A 24493-nucleotide genomic window follows, 5' to 3' on the forward strand; every position below is an offset into this window, starting at 1 on the left:
TTGTGATAGATCCAGAAACAAATACTGAGAAAAAGGAAAATTTGGTTTTTGTTTCTGATTGTTCCTCTTTTAAGTTCAAGGTTTGATTTGTAGTTGGAAGGAATTAATGACATTGGAATAAATCAAATCTGTTTAACACAAGGTATGTTAAATTTGTATTACATATAGGTTTTCCAAACAGGAGAAAAAGAAGCTAGAGGGCAGGAGAAGTATGGCAAAATTATAGACACTGAATTAAACCCAGACACCACACCATAAATTGCATGTTCAGGTCCCTACCCACTTCTCCATCATCATCTCCTCCACCGCAGGGCTACCATTTTAAGATTGTAACTTGTAGCATAGCTGACCTAGTTAGTTTGGGCTGTGCATTAGTCCATTTTCATACTGCTATGAAGAAATACCCAAGATTGAGTAATTTATAAAGAAAAAGAGGTTTAATGGACTCACAGTTCCACATGGCGGGGAGGTCTCACAATCGTGGCGGAAGGTGAAGAAGGAGCAAAGACACATTTTACATGGTGGCAGGCAAGAGAATGTGTGCAGGGGAACCATCAGATCTCATGAGACTTATTCACTATCATGAGAACACCATGGGAAAACCCATCCCATGATTCAATTACCTCCCACAGTGTCCCTCCCATGACACATGGGAATTATTACAATTCAAGGTGAGATTCAGGTGGGGACACAGCCAAACCATACTAGGCTGCTATAACAAATTAAAATAGACTGGGTGGCTTAAACAACAAACATTTATTTTTTACAGTTCTGGAGGCTGGGATGTCCAAGGTGAAGGTGCCGGCAGCTCTGATGTCTGGTGAGTGCCCCTTCCTGGTGTGCAGATGGCTGCTTTGTCATTATAGCCTCACCTGGTGGAGAGAAGAGAGAGAGAAAAAAACAAGTTGTTTCCTGTCTCTTTTTATAAGGCCATTAATCCTATCATGACAGCTCCATCTTCACAACCTAACTACCTCCCATAGACCCTAACTCCAAACACTATCACATTGGATATTAGGACTCCAACATATAAAATTTTGAGGGCAAAATCATTAAGTCCATAGCAGTCACACAGGGCTTCATGGATGGTTTAATGTTCTGACATTACAATTCTAAATTCTTACCTTCTATTATTCTTTTATCTTTGAATTTGTGTTTTGTAAGTTAAGTCCAAGGAAAAAATGAAGCATACCCACGAACAGAAGAAATGCATGCCATGAGTGAATCCACTGTTTTTTGGTGTTCCAGTTTGCTGTGCCCCATAAGCACAAAATATTGCTGAATTCACCATTATATGGGTGCCCAGGGAGACTCAAAGAGAGTACAAGTGAAGTGTAATGTCTACAACTAGTAGGTGGGGGTGGGGTGAGGGGCTGCTGACAGCTCTTGGACACCATCTTTTCCTATTGAATCAGATCTTGCTTCTAGTGACAAAAGAAGTTAATAACATTCTAGGAGACTCAAAGAGCCAAGAAACTCTATCATATCTTTTCTTACCCAAAGTTCTCTGTATTTGCCAATCATGTACACTGAAAGGAATGATATAGAAGGAAAGGGAAAGATAGAGCAGCCTGTAGTTCCTTTTCTACTTGGTTCTTTCTCCTTATCAGTTAGCTGAAGGTTGAGAGAGGTGGTAGAATGCATTTGTATCAGGAAGTGAAATAAAAACATTTCAGTTAGTTTTGTGTAGCATTTTTACGGTTCTAAGAATGGAATACATATGTATATATGAGTGATGGAATACAAATTGTGTAATTTCAGTGATTTGCATACAAGATAAACATTCATATTTGCATTTAAAAATTGAATTGCCCAATATAAAAATAAATGTTAAAATTCATGCTAATAATTTGAATTTTAACTTTTTTTTTACTTAGAATATTAAATATCAAGCAAAAAACACCATGACAAATCAAAAGAGAGACAACAAAAAAGAAAATACTTTTTATTTTAGGAACTTTAATGCTGCTTTTATCCTGCTTTTTGCACAAGGGGCCATAATTTCATTATGCACTGGGCCCTGAAAATCATAAATTATGTAGCTGATTCTGTATCCAGTCTCTCCTTTCAACACTACATAAAATCTTTCTTTCTTCTTTCTCTTCCTTCCTTCCCTCCCTCCCTCCCTTCCTTCCTTTCTTTTCTTTCTTTCTTTTGACAGATTCTCACTCTGTCACCCAGGCTGGGGTGCAGTGGCATGATCTCGGCTCACTGCAACCTCCACCTCCTGGGTTCAAGCAATTCTCCTGCTTCAGCTTCCTAAGTAGCTGGGATTACAGGCGCATGCCACCATGCCTGGCTAATTTTTGTATTTTTAGTAGAGATGGGGTTTCACCATGTTAGCCAGGCTGGTCTCGAACTCCTGATCTGTGATCCACCCACCTCAGCTTTCCAAAGTTCCATTCCCTCCCTCCTTCCCTCCCTCTCTCCCTCCCTTCCTTCCTTCCTTCCTTCCTTTCCTTCCCTCCCTCCTCCCTTCCCTTCCCTTCCCTTTCTTTCTTCTCTCTCTTTTCTTCTTTCTTTCTTTCTCTCTTTCTTTTCTCTCTTTCTTTCTTTTCTCTCTTTCTTTCTTTCATCAACTCAGCAATTCTTTCCCACCTCCAGTCTTTCCATCAAAATCTTTCCTCTCCCTGGAACATGTTCCTCCCTGCCCTTCACCTGGCTTGGCTTTTTTCCCATTCTAATAAAAAGTCACATTGCTCTCTGTCACTACCCCTTGCTTGTCTCCTGGTACTCACTATTCATAATAATCTATTAATTCTCAATCTACTTTTTAAAAAAAAATATTACCCAATACATTGTTAGTGTCTCAGGAAAGGGGTATATATCTGTTTTCCACTAAATGTGTACTCAGTGGACAGATTAGGTAACCAATCAATATTTGTCGGGTGAACTAATTAATTAATGGAATTCAAATGGAAGAAAGTTCATATCCAGATAATGTACAATTCCAGAAAAACGTCACTTCCCAGCTTGAATGTCTTTAAGTAGGGATGCCAAATAAAAGTAAAGGATGCTCAGTTAAATATAATTTTTATTTTATTTTTAAGACAGAGTCTTTCTCTGTCGCCCAGGCTGGAGTGCAGTGGTGGGATGTGATCTCGGCTCACTGCAACCTCCACCTCCTGGGTTCAAGCAATTCTTCTGCCTCAGCCTCCCAAGCCCCTGGGACTACTGGTGTATGCCACCATGCCTGGCTAATTTTTATATTTTTAGTAGCTATGGGGTTTTGCCATGTTAACCAGGCTAGTCTTGAATCCCTGACTTCAGGTCATCCACCTGCCTTGGCCTCCCAAAGTGCTGGGATTACAGGCGTGAGCCACCGGGCCAGGCCTAAACGTAAATTTTTATTTGCTAAATCCTGCACTCCATTCTGTGTTTGTATTATTAATAGTTACATCTGGCAACCTTACCCGAATAAATAATTGTCAAAAGACACAAGTTTTTAAGTAAAGTGTGAGTATGAAAATTGTACAATACAATAATTTGAAACTTGTTTCAGTTATGAACCCATCTAGGGATCTGATAAAATCTATGTTATTTCCCCAGAAAATGTAAATAATCATATACATTTTCCTATCTGGGAGAAAGTTTATAGATTCTCGGAAGCCCATCCTTAATTCCTTCTATCTCATAATCCCACATGTAAATTGATCTTTAAATCTCCTTCGTTCATGTTTCCAGAATCACTTACTTCAAGCTATCATACGTCATCTGGATTAATAGTGTCTTAACTGGTTCTTCTTTTAGTCCTTATCCACCTTAATTCACTTTCACGTATCTTCTAAACTAAAATGTTTCTCCCTAAACATAAATTTTGTTACGCCTTTCTCCTATTTAATATTACTGCATTATCTACAGAAAAAGTGTTTACAATAGCATAGTAAATTTTGACTCTTACCTACTTGATGATAACTCCTGCCCTTCCACTTCATTAGTGCACAGTATTGGATTCTTTGCAGGTTCCCAATTCTACTATGCTGTTTACAACTCCATTAGTGTGCTTACTATTCCTTCAGCCTGAAATGTACTGTCACCCCATTTTCTGCCAAGCAGCTGCTCCTCTGTTGAAGGCTTGCATGGATCTCCTCCCACCCCTAACACTACTTAAGCCTGACTCTGTGATTCTGTTTCCCCTTGTTCCTCATTAATGCACCACAATCAAAAGAAATTGTTTATTTATTAGTGATTTCCAGTAGTCTCTGTAATTATCAGGGTAATGACTTTGTATTTGTATTTCCTGAACAGTGGCTGATATACAGTAGATATACAATAAAAGTTTTACAATTGAATCCACATGCTTATATATGTTTAATAATTTTTGTAATTACACACATGCACACATTCACTTGACATTTTTCGTCACCAAAAAACAAAAAAAGTGGTTCTTGGCAGTTCATTGAATTATTTTTGTAAGAGACATTGCAATGAATATAGTACAAGTATAATGCTTCTGAGTGCTTTGCTAAGCTCTAAGCTTAATTAATATCTGTGAATATCTGACAACTATGACCTGTCTTAGTCCTTTTGGACTGTTACCATAGACTAGGTTGCTTACAAATAACAGAAATGTATTCCTCACAGTTCTGAAAACTGAGACATCCAAGATCAAGGCACTGGCTGACTCGGTGTCTGGTGAGAGCCCATTTCCTGGTCTATACATGTTGCCTTCTTGCTGTGTTCTCACGTGGTGAAAAAGGCAAAGCAATTCTTGAGGATCTCTTTTATAAGGGCACTAATCCCACCCCAATCCTGTGACCTTATTACTTAACTGCTTTTCATAGACCCCATCACATTGGGGATTGGGTTACAACATATGAACCCATATGTTTTGGGGAGATAGAAGCATTCACACCATAACATGATGAATGGCTTTCTCAGTGAAAATAAATAAGTAAATACAACTTCAGGAAACAAAATGTAAATGCTTGTATTGTATTTAAAAAAAAAAAAAAGGTAGGAGCCGGGCACAGTGGCTCACACCTGTAATCCCAGCACTTTGAGAGGCCGAGGTGGGTGGATCACGAGGTCAGGCGATCCAGAGCATCCTGGCTAATATGGTGAAACCTCGTCTCTACTAAATATACAAAAAATTAGCTGGGCATGGTGGCCATAGTCCCAGCTACTCGGGAGGCTGAGGCAGGAGAATCACTTGAACCCAGGAGGCGGGGGTTGCAGTGAGCCGAGATCGCACCACTGCACTCCAGCCTGGGCAACAGAGTGAGACTCCATCTCAAAAAAAAAAAAAAGTAAATGCATATTTTTCTTTCTTTTTGTTTTCTAAATGCTAAATTCTGCAAGAAACATGCTTATCTAATAATATAGGGTGTATTTGACTTATTACAAAAGTAAATATGACTCAAATAAACTGGAAGTATATGTGAAGAGTTACTTTCAACAATAGGAGGGTGAAGTATGAATGCAATGACATCCTGTCAATATTGCTTGCCATATTCAAGACCACTGTTCATTAAATCAAGCTATAAACTTTCTGTTATAAGGAATAAGTATTGTTTTCTAATGAAAAATTGTTTTTAGTAACAAATTACTTTGGACTACATATTTATTACAAAATCCAAGCAGTACATAGGTATGTAAAGTTAAACGTGAACCATCTCCTCTTAGTGGAATCCCCTCACACTCTACATTTTTACTGCCTTCCCACAATGCATAATGGTAGCACTGCTAGCATTGCATTATGCTGTCTAACTTGAAGACCTTCTGTTTTGCATATATATTTATGTCTCTCTAAATATGGTTTCTTACACAAATAAAATTATACTACACATCTATTTATAAAACTCTTAATGAAATCTTCAGTGAACACTTGTAGCATTACATTTGGAATATACTCTGTCTTTTCCTGGTTTAAAGCAACCTAATGGTCTCGGGGAATCCACTCCAGTTTCCTTCCCACCCCCCAACACTCTTGATAAGATTGACTCACCTGTGCTTCCTGGGTGGACCTTGATTATTTTATCCAATGAGCATATCTCTCCTCCAAGCCACAGTGACTGGCTTCTAGATGGGTTCTAAACCCATCTGATCCAGTGAGAAAGGGGTGACGTGATCAAGAATCGTGAGAAGCTGTAATAGGCTCTTTGCAAAGTCAGAGGGTGAGGCCTTTCCCAAACTAGATCTGATGTTTATCTCTTCAAAAATAAGCGATGAGGCAGAGATTTTAGAACTTCACTTTTATGACATTACCTAGTCAAAGTAATGTCACACACACTAAGATATTATACTCTAGATTCAGTGTGTTACCTGTGAAATTTCTAATTTTTCATATTTCCAAGCATACCTGGCTACTTATTTCCAACACACATGTACACTTTTTGGCAGGCAGCCTGGGATTTTACTTCAAAGGAAGAAGAACATTCAACCCTTTTACAATGATAAGAAAAAAAAATGACTGGCAGGGTTACATTTAATCAAACTTTCGTTACCTAATTTGAGATGGGTTTAATGAGTCAGGTCCTTCTCTAACCTTTCCGACCAATACCAAGCAACAAATTGAGGCAATTATTACCTGAATGTTTCAGATAAGAAATACAGGTTTGATTTTTTGTAAGCTTATGAATTGATTTTTTTTTTCAGAAAAGTATCTATAGATCTTGGGGTGACTTTCTTGAGAGTTCCATTCTCCTCCCACCTTCTAACCTATAGAGAAGAAAATCATTATTAAATACAGAGTTTAAAGGCAACTCCAGGCTTACAAATAAGATGACCAAGTATCTCTCAGAAAAGATAGAAAAATCAACTATTTCACGAGAGCTACCAGAAGGAACTCCTTTTTTTCAGAGGAAATGATCAAGGTGAGGGAGCATGAGGTCTTATTGCTCTTGGAGTTACATAAGAGAAACCCACCTCAATGCTCAACTGGCTTTAAAATCTTTTTTTATTTAAATAGTTTGAAATGAGTTTTTATCAATTGCAGTCAGAGTACTTACTAATGGAGAGCCTGTGATACAAAGATAAGACATGGCTTCTTATCTTCAAGGAGTTTGTAATATAATAATGGAGACAGACAATGGGAAGGAGGACTGGAATGCAGGGTTTGGGTGGTGCAGAACAGACCCTAAAAGATTCACAAAGTTATCACAAATGAGCTAATGCCTGAAACTGAACCTTAAATAGACACTGGGGTTATGTGAATCAAAAGGAATAGAGAGGTTGAGGTACAGAGCAGGTTGTGAAAATGCATGGGAACGAGACAGAATAGTGAGTTCATGGATATTCAGAGAGTTCTTCATTCAAAATACATTGATTGAGTTCATACCTCTACAGGGATCTCATGATTAAAACAGATAAAGCTCTTGCCCTAGAGAATTTCACATTATAGTGTTGGGACCCAGAAAATAAATCAGCAAATAAGCATGATATGTAAGTAATTATAAGTCCTGTAAGCAAAAATAAAGGAGATTAAAGACTATTGTAGAGTAAGGTGGGAAAAAAGCCTCTGTGATAAGATAATGTGACAAAAGCTGCCAATGATCTTCCAATAAGCATGTTTCCATTTACCTTTAGACATAAGACATATGAGTTTTAGCTGGCCACATAGCCACACAGCCTAGATTACATTTCCCAGCCTTCCTTGCAGTTGGTGATTAAGCTGTAGCGAAGTAAGATGTAAGTAGAAGTGACACATGCACCTGAGTACTCCCTTCCTTGCCTTTTCTTCTTCCCCAATGTCCAGAAGGTGAACATGGTGATGGGAGATGTAGTAGCTGTCCAGACCTCATGATGGAAGCTGCATTTTGAGGATGGCTAAGCAACATGATTGAAGATGTCTGAGTCCCTGATACTATGGAGCATCAACAACAGCTTTGGACCACTAATACTCTCAGATTCATATGTCAAAGAGAAATAAACTTTTATCTTGTTTCATTTACTATTATTTTGATCTTTGTTAACAGTGACCAGATTTATATTCAACTGAATAAAGGTAACATCTAAGCAGTGCCTGAAATAAATGAGGAATCATGAGGTTTTATGGACAAAATCATTCCCATTAAGGGAATAGCAAAAGCAAAGGCCCTCGAATGAATAATGCTTACGAAGTTTCAATTATAGCAAAGAAGCCAGTGTAAAAGGAGGGAGTCAACAAGAAGAAGAGTCAATTGATGAAGTCAAGAGACTTACAGAAAGCCAAATCACTTAAGGTCTCCTATTTCATGGTTATAAACTTTAGATTTTGCTCTGAGTGACACCAGAAGGCACTGAGGGATTTTGAGCAATTAGTACCATGATCTAATTTGTTTTACAAAGTCATTCTGACTGCAAGGTGAAGAATATTTTTGGGGGCAAGAATGGAAGTAGTGAGATCAGTTCAGAGGTTACACCAACATCCAGTGTGTGCTAATGTGGCTTGGACAGGATAGGGAGCTAGGGATGATGTAACTTAAACTAAAAGAAAATAGTCAATAGGGTCTCGGAAAAAAAAAAAAGTCAATAGAATTTGTTGCTGGTTTGATACTAAGAAAAGAAAAAGGTAAAAAACACTAAGGCTTGAGTTTTGGAAAAATGTAGGTGCGATTTATGTATATGAAAAGTCAGAGAGTAGGCAGTTTTGGAAGCTTGGATACCAAAAGCTTAATTTTGGCATATTGCATTTGAGGTGCCTCTTAGTCAACCAAATAGAGATGAGAGTAGGCATTTGGGGTGAAAAAGGAAATCTGGAGTTTGAAAGAAAAGGTCTCAGCTCCTGAGATATATTTGGGAAACATTAGCATATAGATGGGTTTTAAAGGTATGAGGCATGAGATCTCCAAGAGACTGAGTGCAGACAAAGAGTTCTGGGGATAGTGCCCTGGAACACTGTGACATTTAGGAATTGGGAAAATGAATAGAAATCAGCAAATGAAACTGAGAAGGTGCAGCCAAATCGGGAGGAGGAGAAGCAGGAGAGAGTGGGCTCCAATAAGCCAAGGAAAGGAAGGGTTTTGAGAAAGAGTAAGTTATCAACAGTGCCAAATACTGCAAACAGGTCAGGTAGTACTGAACATTGGCTACTGGATTTAACATGTAGAGGTCTTTAAAGATCTTGATAAGAGAAATTTGGATGCAGTGAAGACAAAAACTTAAATGAAGTGAGTTCAAGCAACAATAAGCAAGCTGAAGGAGAATTAAAGTTTTGGTTCTCTTTTTTTTTTGGATGGGCATTATTAGAAATTATTTTTGATGGCAATTAATAAAGGAATTATTATTAGCTCTTGATTTTTATGCTAATTAAAAAACAATCTAATAGTGAGGAAATGCAAATGATTTGGGAAAAAGAGGAGACAACTGTAGGAGTGAGGTCCTTTATTAGGGGAGAGATTTTAGTTTACATGTGGTAGAGTTGACTTTGGAACAAAGATGTTATCTATTATGACAGGAGGAAAAACAAAATATATGGGTACTGATATATATAGGTTTGTTGACTTGGTGATGAGGTCTGAATTTCTTGTTTACCCAGAAATGGAGCAAATCAAAGAGGACATGAGCCTTAAAATGCAGCAAAACCAAGAATTCAATGGAAATGGCAACTTAGAACCAAAAGTGAACATGAGATTCCCCCAAGATTACATAGAAACACTGGGGAAGCCATTGGATTTCTTTATCTGAAATCTGAATTGTTTTAAACACACAGATTCTCTCTCTCTCTCACTCACACACACACCCCTTATTATGTAAAAATAAATATTTGATCTAAAGTCAGATAATCTGATACCAGTTTTATTTTTATTTTATTTTATTTTTTTTTTTGAGACGGAGTCTCGCTCTGTCGTCCAGGCTGGAGTGCAGTGGCGTGATCTCGACTCACTGCAAGTTCCGCCTCCCGGGTTCATGCCATTCTCCTGCCTCAGCCTTCCAAGTAGCTGGGACTACAGGAGACTGTCACCATGCCTGGCTAATTTTTTGTATTTTTAGTAGAGACGGGGTGATACCAGTATTTTTTAACTGTAATACCTTGTAGAAAACTTTATATTCTTTCTGAGCTTTATTTTCATCAACAAAATAGAGGTAATATTACATTTGCTTATAACTTATAAACACAGGTCTATCTATCAAAATCACTTCTGCATATTGCCATTTGATTTCCCATAGACATTCCAGACATTCAAAATTGAAATCATTTCTGCTCTAATTTGTCTGCCATATTTGAATGAACAGACACTGTCATGGATCAAGTTTCTCAACTCTTTCACCCCACAACATTTAACTTAGACCTCTCCTCCACTCTCCCACTGTCTCAAGTTTGATTAACAAGTCCTGAAAATTCCATTTTCTAAATACATCACTTTGCCATAACTTATATTTTAGATATCTGAAGTCTAGGTCTTTGTAGGAAAATAACATGAGTGCATATACTTTTCCTTGGATTTTGTTTTAATTTGGTCCTTACTGTTTTCTTTTTTTTGAGACAGTCTCACTCTGCCACTCAGGCTGCAGTGCAGTAGCACAGTCTCGGCTCACAGCAACCTCTGCCTCCTAGGTTCAAGCAATTCTCCTGCCTTAGCCTCTGGAGTAGCTGGGATTACAGGTGCCTGCCAACACGCCCAGCTAATGTTTTTGTATTTTTAGTAGAGACCAGGTTTTGCCATTTTGGCCAGGCTGGTCTCAAACTCCTGAGAGGTGATCCACCCACCTGGGCCTCCCAAAGTGCTGGGATTACAGGCGTGAGCCACCATGTCTAGCTGGTTCTTATGGTTTTCTAAATGTGTTTGCTGTTGTCATGCTCTTTTCCTTCTTCCACAAAGTTTTGCTTTTGTTTTCTTACACTTAAAATCCTCAACTATTTCAGCATTTTATTTCATTTTTTGTATATAGTTTCTAACCCTTTACTTAAAATATTTATCTACTAAATATGTGCTAATATATACTAACGTATACTAAATGTCAAACATCTTAGGTTTTGTTAGAGTTGTAGAGTATTGACCTTCAACTTTGGAAATGTGTTTTTGCATCTGGATTTCCTACTTGTACCTGCTTTTGAATAAGGAGTCACATAGCCTTATGAGTAATTGGATCTTTTGTGCAATTAGAACTTTTCCCTGCATTATAATTTATAGCATGGTTGAATTGAGCAATGTGTAATGAGTCATTTTTCTGAGGCTTTTAAGGAAGTTATTTCTGAAGGTCTGCCTAAGAGGCTAAAATATGTCTGAATTAAAAGGAATGACAGGCTGCAATCAGGACTGTAAAATAAAGGTGCTCAGTAAGCAGCCCTATTACAATCAGAAAGTGAAGGAAACGGATCTCTGTCTTGTGTGCAGAGGCAGAGGAAATGATGAATACCTTAGGTAACTCATTCTGTGCAAAATCAATCTTTCACTGTCAATTTTAAATGAACTAATTTGTTCACAAATCTGCTCAGTCAGTTTGGAAGCATACTCTGTTCCTTCATATTAGCAAATCCTTTAATCTTGACTAGTCCACTGAGTAAGAAATCTAGAAATGTGTTAATATGATTGGACGTATGTAGTAGGATAAGAATTGATTCTTTTAATTAGTGTCTGCTCAAGTTAGAGTCCCTTTCTTGGCTGAACTATTGACCCACTAATATATCAAGAGATTATGTTATGACTAACATATATCCAAAGTTCAATTTAACTCTTTCTTTACTGGCCAATATTGCAGTAAACTTTCTAGGACTAAATCCTTTACTTCTTTTTCAAGGACTGGTTAGCTTTAGATGTTATATGAAAAGTAGCAAATGCATAAATGTCTGAACATTGTTTATACATCATAACATATCTACAAATTGTGCAATAATGTAGCACTCATTGTTTTGGAAATGCAAATTATCATAGATTTAATTGTCATCTATTAAAATGAAATGATGTCCCATATAATTTCTTACATGAGCTTCAATTTTAAATACTTTGAATTTGTATGCAAATTCCTTCCATGGTGTTATTGAATAATATGAGAAAGAAATTCAAGAAATACTGTATAATATAAGATTTCGTTATGAGATATGGAAATAAGGTATTCTAAGTATTATGAGTCTTTTTGTTATTTTACATATACTGGTAGTTACTGAAAAGTTATGTGCATTTTGATTCAGAAAAAGAACAATATGAAAAGTCTGTGTAAAATAGATGGCTATAAAACCTAAGGATACATTTCAAATCTGTTTTTTTTTTGCTTAAATACATTCATAACAATGTATTCTTAAGTGAATAACATCTGACTATGTCTTTTAAAAGAAAATGTAGAATTATATACACAAACACACATTGTACAGTATGTTAAAAAATCTGTATTAAAGAGATAATCCCTTATAAATATTATCAGTTTGGCTATTTTGCCAGTTTTAAAAATATTTTCTATCACTTTAAACACTTAGAGTATTAACATAGTATTTAGCAATGCATTTGCTCATATATTTCACCCACACTATGGGGAAAAAGATTGAAGGTGTGAGTACCTTTTAACTTATTCAACAAATATTTATTTAACAAATATTTATTTTACATCTTCTGAGTGTGGTGTCCAGTACCAGGTATTTTGTGGAATTCCAAAAGTTGTCTAATATAGTACCTGACTTAAAGGAAGTTATAATTTGAACTTTAATTTCAGAGTCTATGCATTATCTTAATGTGAATATTGAGTTTAGGCTTTGCTCCATTCTGATATCCTTATCTTCTTCCTCAAAACTACTGTAATCATAGTCTTTTCTCCTTCCACTTGTGACAATTATATTCTTCCAGTTGATCAAACCAAAAACTTTTAGAATCATCTTTAACCTCTCCCATTCCCTCTCACTCCAACCCAGTTTGGTAATAAGTACAATTACCACTATCTTAAATTATCAAAGGGTTGTACAAATGGGTAATTAAGAAAGTGCCGGTAGGAGACAAAGCTAAGGGAGTAAGCCTAGGGAAGAAGATGCCCTGAAAGTGTTCAGCTTCAGGGAGAGTCTCAGGAAGAAGCTTGTGCCTGATTTCATAAGGTTGCCTCTGGCATAGGTGCTGGGCTTTCACATGTTGATACCCATCCATCCTTTTCTAAACTTATCCTGGAAGAGTGTAAATTCCTCAGCACTTCCAGCAATCTGAGTATGCAAGAGAGAACTGCTCCAGTATCCTGAGGGCAGTCTTCCAGCTACAGCTGCAGGCCATTAGAAAGGAAGACTCACAGGGCTGAGAGCGGAGTGCACAGAAGAGGGAAGAAGGTAGATCCTGAGGGAGCACAAAGTGTGCCTGTTATACTCAGCAATCCCATCTCTATTCCAAAGACATCCTGGCAAAAATACAAAATAAAAACTTCACAAGACTATTTATAGTGGTATGATCTCTTAGACCTAAGAATGAAATCAACCCCAATGTCTATCAATAGGAGAATGTGTGTCTGCGTATTTGAGAGCCTTACAAATGCAAAATGAGTGAGGAAGATATCTGTCTTCCTTATGATGTAGAGTTTTATCCAGGGTCTATGTAAAGTGAAAAAAACAAGGATGCCAATTTTAGTCTAAGAAAGTGGTGAAAATATGATTATTCATATGGACTACTTGCTTATATTAAAAAACAAGTAATAGAAAAAAACCCTCCAAATTAATAATATGGTTACTTTTACGGGAAGCAAAAAACCAGAATGGATGGAACAGGGATGGAAGTAAAACCTCTGTTAGCCCACATTATCATAGAACTGTGTAACTGTTTAACATTATTGCAATACAAATTTAAATGTAGAAATTCCCTAAAAGATTAAAAATGACTAAAACAAGTAAACCTAACTTTATATCACATGGAAGAATAACCAGAAAGAGAAAATACTTTGAAATACAGTACTTTGACTGGATATCCATGGTATACTATATTCAAAGGATAAAAAAGCAAATAAACTTTATGCAATATTATTAATGGTAATATTCTTTTATTTATTTATTTTGAGACAGGGTCTTGCCCTGTCACCCAGCTTTGAGTGCAGTGACATGATCATGGCTCATTGCAGCCTTGACATCTTGGGTTCAAGCAATCCTCCCATTTCAGCCTCCCAAGTATCTGGGACTACAGGTTTGTGCCACCACACCTGGTTAATTTTTGTGGTTTTTATAGAGGTGGGGTCTCACTATGTTGCCCAGGCTTGTCTTGAACTTCTGGTGTCAGGTGATTCTCTTGCTTTGGCCTCCCAAAGTGCTGAGATTACAGTTATATTTTAGTTTTGAACTTAAAGGTATATTTTAAAATAAAGAAAAATAATTGTGTTAATAACATTGGAAACCATATATATTTTTCATGTTAAAAAAGATAAAATTATAAAACAGGGAAGTTAAATAAATTTCTATAACTTTAAAACATCGGTATTAGTTAAAATTTATCTTTATTGTGTGTGTATGTATTTTTTTCCCTTGCTTTGTCACTAGAAAACAAGCTGTAAAAACTCTACAGCAATGATCATTCCTAGCATCCAGATTGTGGTCTTTACATATAATTTGCCACCAAAAGGAGCCAAGGTCCAAGGTTGCTTGGAGAAATGACTAACTCTGGGGCTGAGCTAGGGGATGTCCAAACAAGGACTGAACATTTGTTATACCAGGAAGAAAGGAAGCCCTCAAAGATTATTAAGCAAACATATGCCAAAAGGATAAGGAGCCAATTTGAAAGTGCTCCCACTGGCCTAAAATAGAACAATTTGAATGCCAAAATAAATTATGATTAAAATAGATAGAAATAAACACATATAGAAATATCTTTAAACTCTCAATGCAATTCTTATCAAAATCCCAGCTGACATTTTTTTTGCAGAAATTTGCAAACTAATTCTAAATATCTGAATTCATCAGAGATAAAAACCTTTTGTGCTTCAAATGACATCATCAAAAAAGTGAACAGAAAAACTACCCCCAACTGGAAGAAAATACTTGAAAATCGTGCATCTGACAAAGAATTATTATCTAGAATATACAAAGAACTTTTATAACAATAATAAAAAGACAACCCAATTATGAAAATGGGAAAAATATTTTAATAGACATTTCTCCAAAGAAAGTATATTAATTGGTAATAAGTGCCTAAAATGACATTCAACATCATTAGGCATTTGGAAGGTAAATTAAAACCACAAAGAGATATCACTTCTACCCAGTGAAGTGGCTATAATAGTAAGGCAGGCAATAATAAGTGTTAGCATAGACGTGGACAAATTGGGAACTTAATCCATTGCTGGTGGGAATGTAAAATGAGCAGCCACTTTGGAAAAAAGTCTTTAGTAGATCCTCAAAATATTAAACACAGAGTTCCCATGTGACATAGGAATATCACAACTAGTTATGTACCCAAAATAAATGAAAATATATGTCAACACAATAACTTGTACATGGATGGTGACATGGTGACAGTAGCATTATTTATAATAGCCAAAAAGCAGAAACAGTCAAATTGACAATCAACAGATGAAGGAATGCAAAAATAGTATATATTTATATAATAGAATATTATTTGTCAATAAAAAGGAATGAAGCACTAATACATGCTACAATATAGATAAACTTCAAAAACATTATGCTAAGTGAAAGAAGCAAGTTGCAAAAGACAATCTATTGCATAGTATTATTTATATGAGATGTCCAGAATAGGCAAATCTATAGAGACAGAAAGTTAATTAGTCATGGCCTAGGCTGAGGGTAGGGGGAGGGAGAATGGGGAATGAGTGCTAATGAGTAAAGATTTCTTTCCGAAATTATGAAAATGTTCTAGAATTAGATTATATAGTTGAACAACTGTAAAGATAGTGGGATCCATTGAACTATGTACTTTAAAATATGTATTTCCCACACCAGTCAGAATGGCTATTATTAAAAAGTCAAAAAACAACAGATGCTGATGAGGTTGTAAAGAAAAAGGAACACTTTTACACTCGTGGTGGGAGTGTAAATTAGTTCAACCATTGTGGAAGACAGTGTGGCAATTCCTCAAAGACATAGAGGTAGTAATAGCTTTCAACCCAGCAATCCCATTTTTGGGTATATACCCCCAAAATATAAATTGTTCTATTATAAAGACACATGCACGCATATGTTCATTGCAGCTTTCTTCACGATAGCAAAGACATGGAGTCAATCTAAATGCCCATCAATGATAGACTTGGTTAAAAAAAAATGTGGTACATGTGCACCACGGAATACTATGCATCCACAAAAAGGAATGAGATTATGTTCTTTGCAGGGACATGGATGGGGCTCGAGGCCATTATTCTTAGCAAACCAATGCAGGAACAGAAAACCAAATACCTCATGTTCTCACTTACAAGTGGGAGCTAAATGATGAGAACACATGGACACATGGTGGAGAACAACACACACTGGGGCCTGTTGGAGGGCAGGGGCTGGGAGGAAGGAGAGGATCAGGAAGAATAGCTGATGAATGCTTGGCTTAATAACTGGGTGATGGGATGATCTGTGCAGCAAACCACCATGGCACACATCTTACCCATGTAACAAACCTGCACATGTACCCCTGAACTTAAAAGCTGGAAAAATGTATCTATGAGCTCATAATAATTCCTAAAACACACACATGCACACACATACACAAAATTAGTTACCATTGGTAGTTGCTAAGGTGCCAGTTTAACATTCTGAAAATTTATTAAAAAAATATAAAATTACATTTGTGAAATTTTATATTTAGTGTAAGCAATATTTATTTGTCATACTATTTCAGTGAGCAGTAACTTGAAAATATTTTATACCAAGCCTAAAATATGTAAGAAGTTGTAGGTTATAAATTTGACAGTGTTCTTCACAGTGCATACAGTTAAAAAACAAGTCAATAAAATTTGTTTTATTTATGATATGGATTCTAATATTGCAAATAATATTTATTTTGTTTTCTTCATAAGTTTCTTTCCCTCTCTGAACTTTCTTCTTTGGCTTATTTGGTTTATACTTCATGAATTCAATCAATCTTAGGAAACAGACCTGCTGAAAAAAAATTTCAGTGCTAACTAGAGACCAATTTACTTACACACTCATGCGCACAAACAATTCGTGGAACAGTTTATTTCCCTATAAATAGCATTAATTTTCAACCTGAAGTTTTCAGCAAGATACTTTCTAATGGACGTGAAAGTCAATCCACATCAGCAACATAACATTATGTAATTAACATAGATATATATTAGATAGAAGCAAAAATAAATTTCAATCCAGAAAACTGAAAAAATAAACTTAATGAATGATGTTGAATAAAAATGAACAGGACTTAACCCTCTATGGAACTTCTCTTAAATTTTTCTCAGAGATATTATAGCTTTAACAATGTAATATCTTTTTGCAAGACAGTGTGTGTGTGTATATATGTAAATATGTGTGTACATATGTATATATGTGTGTATATATGTGTCTGTGTCTCTGTGTGTGTTTGTGTGTGCGTGTATGTGTGCGTGTATGTGTTAAGCTGTATTTCAGGCCTCTATTTGACTTCCAGAACCAGATCTAAAATCTGCACCCTGAGGCTGCAAAAACTCAGTTTCCGTTTTGTTGCTACAGGAAAACAGCACAAGGGAAGTACTGGCAAGAAGTGAAACTGGTCAGTGCATCTGCCATCCCTGGGTGCTGTCTTGGTGAGACCCCATCAGTCCTCTCCACCTTGTGCACTGATGCTGAAGACTCCCCCCTGACCAGATCCTAGTCATTTGCCAGGCTCTCTCTGTCATGAGAAGTTACACTGGCAACTGATCCTCATGCTCAGTCTGCTGTCAAAGCATTCCAATTTTTAATCGCTACATGACTTGTCACATTGAATATGAACCACATGCCTACAATGCAATCTCTCTAATAATGAGAATGCCAAAAAAAAGGGGAACTCTGGGCAGGTCTCCTGTCACTGTTGACATTCTAAAACTAAGTTTGAGAAAGCTCCACAACTGAAAATTATGTTTGCACCTTGAGAAACTAAATTATTAATTTACACAATAACGCATTATATTGTCAAAAGCATGTGCCTGCACTTACTGAACGTTTCTAAGGTTCTGGCTAACCCTCATAGACCATATTTCCACTGTGGAAAAGAATTCATCTCCCACGATCAGCAAAGAAAGCAGCCAAACTTCAGTCCCAGATCTGTACACCACATCTGTCATTTCCTTACCTACTGGGAGATAGTCTCATCTTGGCTAAATTTAGTTGGAAATGCTAAGGCATATTTTAAGAATTCTTCTTAAATTCTGAATGATGAACTTTATTTTTCAGAGAATGTTACCTGAATCATAGTCTCAGTTATTTCTTCCCTAGATTTTGAGATTTGTTACTTCCACAGGATTGAGAATTAAGACGAAAATGGAAGAAAATTTTTTTATTAATTAAAAATTGAAATTAGTTTACTTGCATTTATGTTTAGATATTGATCCTATGTTTTGAATGTGTTTAAAAGAGATGTGCCAAATACTATTATTTACTGGATTTCTGTACAGATGAAAGCCACATCAGCCAAAAGATCCTGTCCACAGAACCTAATGTGTATGTATTATAACTATAGGCAGTCAATTTTAATTCAACAGCACGTCCTCAGCATTATACTGAAATCAGGTAAAATAGCCTTGTAGACCCTATGTGGAGTGAATACCTTGGTAATAAGACATTTCTTCTTCTTTCATTTGTTTTTTGAGTCTGCTCATTATTTATTCAGTAGTCTAGTGGATTTCTTTCTTTTTTTTATTATTATACTTTAAGTTCTGGGATACATGTGCAGAACGTGCAGGTTTGTTACATAGGCATACATATGCCATTGTGGTTTGCTGCACCCATCAACCCATCATCAACATTAGGTATTTCTCCTAATGCTATCCCTCCCTTTGCCCCCAACCCCGACAAGCCCCAGTGTGTGATGTGCCATTCTCAGTGTCCATATGTTCTCATTGTTCAACTTCCACTTAGGAGAACATGAGGCTTTGGTTTTCTGTTCCTGTGTTAGTTTCCTGAGAATGATAGTTTCCAACTTCATCCATGTCCCTGCAAAGGACATGAACTCATCCCTTTTTATGGATGCATAGTATTCCATGGTGTATATGTGCCACATTTTCTTTACCCAGTCTATCTTTGATGGGCATTTGGGTTGGTTCCAAGTCTTTGCTATTGCTGCAGTAAACATACATGTGCCTGTGTCTTTATAATAGAATGATTTATAATCCTTGGGGTATACATCCAATAATGGGATTGCTGAGACAAATGGTATTTCTGGTTCTACATCCTTGAGGAATTGCCACACTGTATTCCACAATGGTTGAACTAATTTACACTCCCACCAACAGTGTAAAAGCGTTCCTATTTCTCCACATCCTCTCCAGCAACTGTTGCTTCCTGACTTTTATTTTTTGAGACAGAATCTCACTCTGTCACCCAGGCTGGAGTGCAGTGGCACGATCTCGGCTCACTGCAACCTCCACCTCCCAGGTTTAAGTGATTCTCGTGCCTCAGCCTCCTGAATAGCTGGGATTACAGGCACATGCCATCGTGCCTGGCTACTTTTTGTATTTTTTTAAGTGGAGACGGGGTTTCACCATGTTGGTCAGGCTGGTCTCAGACTCCTAATCTTGTGATCTGCATGCCTCAGCCTCCCAAAGTGCTGGGATTACAGGCATGAGACACCGTGCCCAGCCGTTTCTGACTTTTTAATGATCGCCATTCTACCTGGCATGAGATGGTACCTCATTGTGGTTTTGATTTGCATTTCTCTAATGACAGTGATGATGAGCTTTTTTTCATATGTTTGTTGGCCATATAAATATCTTCTTTTAAGAAGTGTCTGTTCATATCCTTTGCCCACTTTTTGATGGGGTTTTTTTTTTCCTGTAAATTTGTTTAAGTTCCTTGTAAATTCTGGATATTAGACTTTTGTCAGATGGATAGATTGCAAAAATTTTCTCCCAATCTGTAGGTTGCCTGTTCACTCTGATGACAGTTTCTTTTGCTGTGCAGAAGCTCTTTAGTTTAATTAGATCCCATTTGTCAATTTTGGCTTTTGTTGCCATTGCTTTTGGTGTTTTAATCATGAAGTCTTTGCCCATGCCTGTGTTCTGAATTGTACTGCCTAGGTTTTCTTCTAGGGATTTTATGGTTTTAGGCCTTACTTTTGAGTCTTTAATCCATCTCGAGTTAATTTTTGTATAAGGTGTAAGGAAGGGGTTCTGTTTCAGTTTTCTGCATGTGGCTACCAGTTTTCCCGACACTATTTATTAAATAGGGAATCCTTTCCCCATTGATTGTTTTTGTCAGGTTTGTCAAAGATCAGATGGTTATAGATGTGTGGTGTTATTTCTGAGGCCTCTGTTCTGTTCCATTGGTCTATATATCTGTTTTGGTACCAGTACCATGCTGTTTTGGATACTGTGGCCTTATAGTATAGTTTGAAGTCAGGTAGTGTGATGCTTCCAGCTTTGTTCTTTTCGCTTAGGATTTTCTTGGCTATACAGGCTTGTTTTTGGTTCCATATGAAATTTAAAATAGTTTTTTCTAATTCTGTGAAGAAACTCAATGGTAGCTTGATGGGGATGGTATTGAATCTATAAATTACTTTGGGCAATATGGCCATTTTCACGATATTGATTCTTCCTATCCATGAGTATGGAATGTTTTTCCATTTGTTTATGTCCTCTTATTTCCTTTAACAGTAGTTTGTAGTTCTTCTTAAAGAGCTCCTTCACATCCCTTGTAAGTTGTATTCCCAGGTATTTTATTCTCTTTGTAGCAATTGTGAATGGGAGTTCACTCATGATTTGGCTCTCTGTCTATTGTTGGTGTATAGTAATGCCTGTAATTTTTGCACATTGATTTTGTATCTGGAGACTTTGCTGAAGTTGCTTATCAGCTTAAGGAGTTTTGGGGCTGAGATGATAGGGTTTTCTAAATGTACAATCATGTCCTCTGCAAACAGATACAATTTGACTTCCTCTCTTTCTATTTGAATATGCTTTATTTATTTCTCTTGCCCGATTGCTTGGCCAGAACTTCCAATACTATGTTGAATAGCAGTGGTGAGAGAGGGCATTTTTCTCTTTTGCCAGTTTTCAAGGGGAATGCTTCCATCTTGTGCCCACTCAGTATGATATTGGCTGTGGGTTCATCATAAATAGATCTTATTATTTTGAGATATGTTCCTTCAATACCTAGTTTATTGAATGTTTTTAGCACGAAGGGGTGTTGAATTTTATCGAAGGCCTTTCCTACATCTATTGAGATAATCATGTGGTTTTTGTCATTGGTTCTATTTATGTGATGGATTATGTTTATTGATTTGCCTATGTTGAACCAGCCTTGCATCCCAGTGATGAAGCCAACTTGATCGTGGTGGATGAGGTTTTTGATGTGCTGCTGGATTCGGTTTGCCAGTACTTTATTGAGGATTTTTGCATTGATGTTCATCAGGGATTTTGGCCTGAAATTTCCTTTTTTTGTTGTGTCTTTGCCAGGTTTTGGTATCAGGATGATGTTGGTCTCATACAATGAGTTAGGGAGGAGTCCCTCTTTTTCTATTGTTTAGAATAGTTTCAGGAGGAATGGTACCAGTTCCTCTTTGTACCTCTGGTAGAATTCAGCTGTGAATCTGTCTGGTCCTGGGCATTTTTTGGTTGGTAGGCTGTTAATTATTGCCTCAATTTCAGAACTTGTTATTGGTACACTCAGGGATTAGACTTCTTCCTGGTTTAGCCTTGGGAGGGTGTATGTGTCCAGGAATTTATCCATTTCTTCTAGATTTTCTAGTTTATTTGCATAGAGGTGATTATAGTATTCTCTGATGGTAGTTTGTATTTCTGTGGGGTCAGTGGTGACATACCATTTATCATTTTTTATTGGGTCTATTTGATTCTTCTCTCTTTTCTTCTTTATTAGTCTGGCTAGCGGTCTATCTATTTTGTTAATCATTTCCAAAGACCAACTCCTGGATTCATTGATTTTTTGAAGCTTTTTTCGTGCCTTTATCTCCAACAATTGTGCTCTGATCTTAGTTATTTCGTGTCTTCTGCTAGCTTTTGAATTTGTTTGCTCTTGCTTCTCTAGTTCTTTTAATTATGATGTTAGATATTTCCCACTTTCTCATGTTGGCATTTAGTACTATAAATTTCCCTTTAAACACTGCTTTAGCTGTGATTCTGGTACCTTTAAACACTGCTTTAGACACTGCTGGTACTTTAAACACTGCTTTAGCAGAGATTCTGGTACCTTTTGTCTTTGTTCTCATTGGGTTCAAAGAACATATTTATTTCTGCCTTAATTTCGTTGTTTACCCTGTAGTCATTCAGGAGCAGGTTGTTCAGTTTCCATGTAGTTGTGTGGTTTTGAGTGAGTTTCTTAATCCTGAGTTCTAATTTGATTGCAGTGTGGTCTGAGAGACCGTTATGATTTCTGTTGTTTCGCATTTGCTGAGAAGTGTTTTACTTCCATTTATGTGGTCAGTTTTAGAATAAGTGCTATGTGGTGCTGAGAAGAATTTATATTCTGTTGATTTGGGATGGAGTGTTCTGTAGATGTTAATTAGGTCTGCATGGTCCAGAGCTGAGTTCAAGTCCTAAATATCCTTGTGAATTTTCTGTCTCATGGATCTATCTAATATTGACGGTGGGGTGGTAAAGTCTTCCACCATTATTGTGTGGGAGTCTAAGTCTCTTTGTAGGTGTCTAAGAACTTGTTTTATGAATCTGGGTGCTCCTGTATTGAGTGCATATATATTTAAGATAGTTAGCTCTTCTTATTGCATTGATCCCTTTACCATCTTACAATGCCCTTCTTTGTCTTTTATGATCTTTGTTGGTTTAAAGTCTGTTTTGTCAGAGACTAGGATTGCAACACCTGCTTTTTTTTTTGCTTTCCATTTGCTTAGTAAATATTCCTCCATCCCTTTATTTTGAGCCTATTTGTGTCTTTGCACGTGAGATGGGTCCCCTGAATACAGCACAGTGATGAGTCTTGACTCTTTATCCAATTTGCCAGTCTGTGTCTTTAAATTGGGGCATTTACCCCGTTTACATTTAAGGTTAATATTGTTATGTGTGAATCTAATCCTGTCATTATGATGCTAGCTGGTTCTTTTGCCCATTAGTTGATGCAGTTTCTTCACAGTGTTGATGGTCTTCACAATTTGGTATGTTTTCACAGTGGCTGGTACCCATTTTTCCTTTCTATATTTAGTGCTTCCTTCAGGAGCTCTTGTAAGGCAGGCCTGGTGGAGACAAAATCTCTCAGCATTTGCTTGCCTATAAAGGATTTTATTTCTCCTTCACTTATGAAGCTTAATTTGGCTAGATATGAAATTCTGGGTTGAAAATTCTTTTCTTTAAGAATGCTGAATATTGGCCTCCACTCTTCTGGCTTGCAAGGTTTCTGCAGAGAGATCTGCTGTTAGTCTGATGGGCTTCCCTTTGTGGGTAACCTGACCTTTTTCTCTGGCTGCCCTTAACAATTTTTCCTTCATTTCAACCTGGGTGAATCTGATGATTGTGTGCCTTGGGATTGCTCTTCTCAAGGAGTATCTTAGTGGTGTTCTCTGTATTTCCTGAATTCGAATGTTGGCCTATCTTGCTAGGTTGGGGAAGTTCTCCTGGATAATATCCTGAAGAGTGTTTTCCAACTTGGTTCCATTCTCCCCATCACTTTAAAGTACACTAATCACACGTAGGTTTAGTCTTTTCACATAGTCTCATATTTCTATGAGGCTTTGTTCATTCCTTTTCATTCTTTTTTCTCTAATCTTGTTTTCACACTTTATTTAATTAAGTTGATTTTCAATCTCTAATATCCTTTCTTCCACTTGATCAGTTTGGCTATTGATACTCGTGTATGCTTCACGAAGTTCTCGTGCTGTGCTTTTCAGCTCCATCAGGTCATTTATGTTCTTCTCTAAACTGGTTATTCTGGTTAGCAGTTCCTGTTACCTTTTATAAAGGTTCTTAGCTTCCTTGCACTGGGTTAGGACATGCTCCTTTAGCTTGGAGGAGTTTGTTATTACCCACCTTCTGAATGCTACTTCTGTCAATTCATCAAACTCATTCTCCACCCAGTTTTTTACCCTTACTGGTGAGTTGTGATCCTCTGGAGTGGAAGAGGCATTCTGATTTTTGGAATTTTCAGTCTCTTTGTGCTGGCTTTTCCTCATCTTCGTGGATTTAACTACTTTTGATCTTTGATGTTGATGACCTTTGGATGGGGTTTTGCGTGGAAGTCTTTTTTGTTGATGTTGATGCTATTCCTTTCTGTTTGTTAGTTTTCCTTCGAACAGTCAGGCTTCTCTTCTGCAGGTCTGCTGGAGCTTGCAGGAGATCCACCCCAGAGCCTGTTTGCCTGGGTGTCACCAGCAGGGGCTTCAGAACAGCAAAGATTGCTGCCTGCTTTTTCCTCTGGAAACTTCGTCCCAGAGGGGCACCCACCAGATGGCAGCCGGAGCTCTCCTGTATGAGGTGTCTGTCGACTCCTGCTGGGAGGTGTCTACCAGTCAGGAGGCACAGAGGTCAGGGACCCACTTGGGGAAGCAGTCTGTCCCTTAGCAGAGCTTGAGCGCTGTGCTGGAAGATC

General features: G+C 37.2%; 1 long non-coding RNA gene across 1 annotated transcript in view; it reads right to left on the minus strand.

The window, feature by feature from the left end:
* Positions 1 to 737: 737 nt before the first annotated feature.
* LOC124909495 (uncharacterized) overlaps positions 738 to 24493 on the minus strand; it is a 43498-nt gene continuing 19742 nt past the window's right edge. The window contains exon 2 of the long non-coding RNA XR_007096279.1: positions 738 to 872. This is a non-coding gene — a long non-coding RNA (uncharacterized LOC124909495). The remainder of the gene's footprint in view (positions 873 to 24493) is intronic.

This window comes from Homo sapiens, chromosome 3, assembly GCF_000001405.40.
Source record: "Homo sapiens chromosome 3, GRCh38.p14 Primary Assembly".
Taxonomy (NCBI): Eukaryota; Metazoa; Chordata; class Mammalia; order Primates; family Hominidae; genus Homo; species Homo sapiens.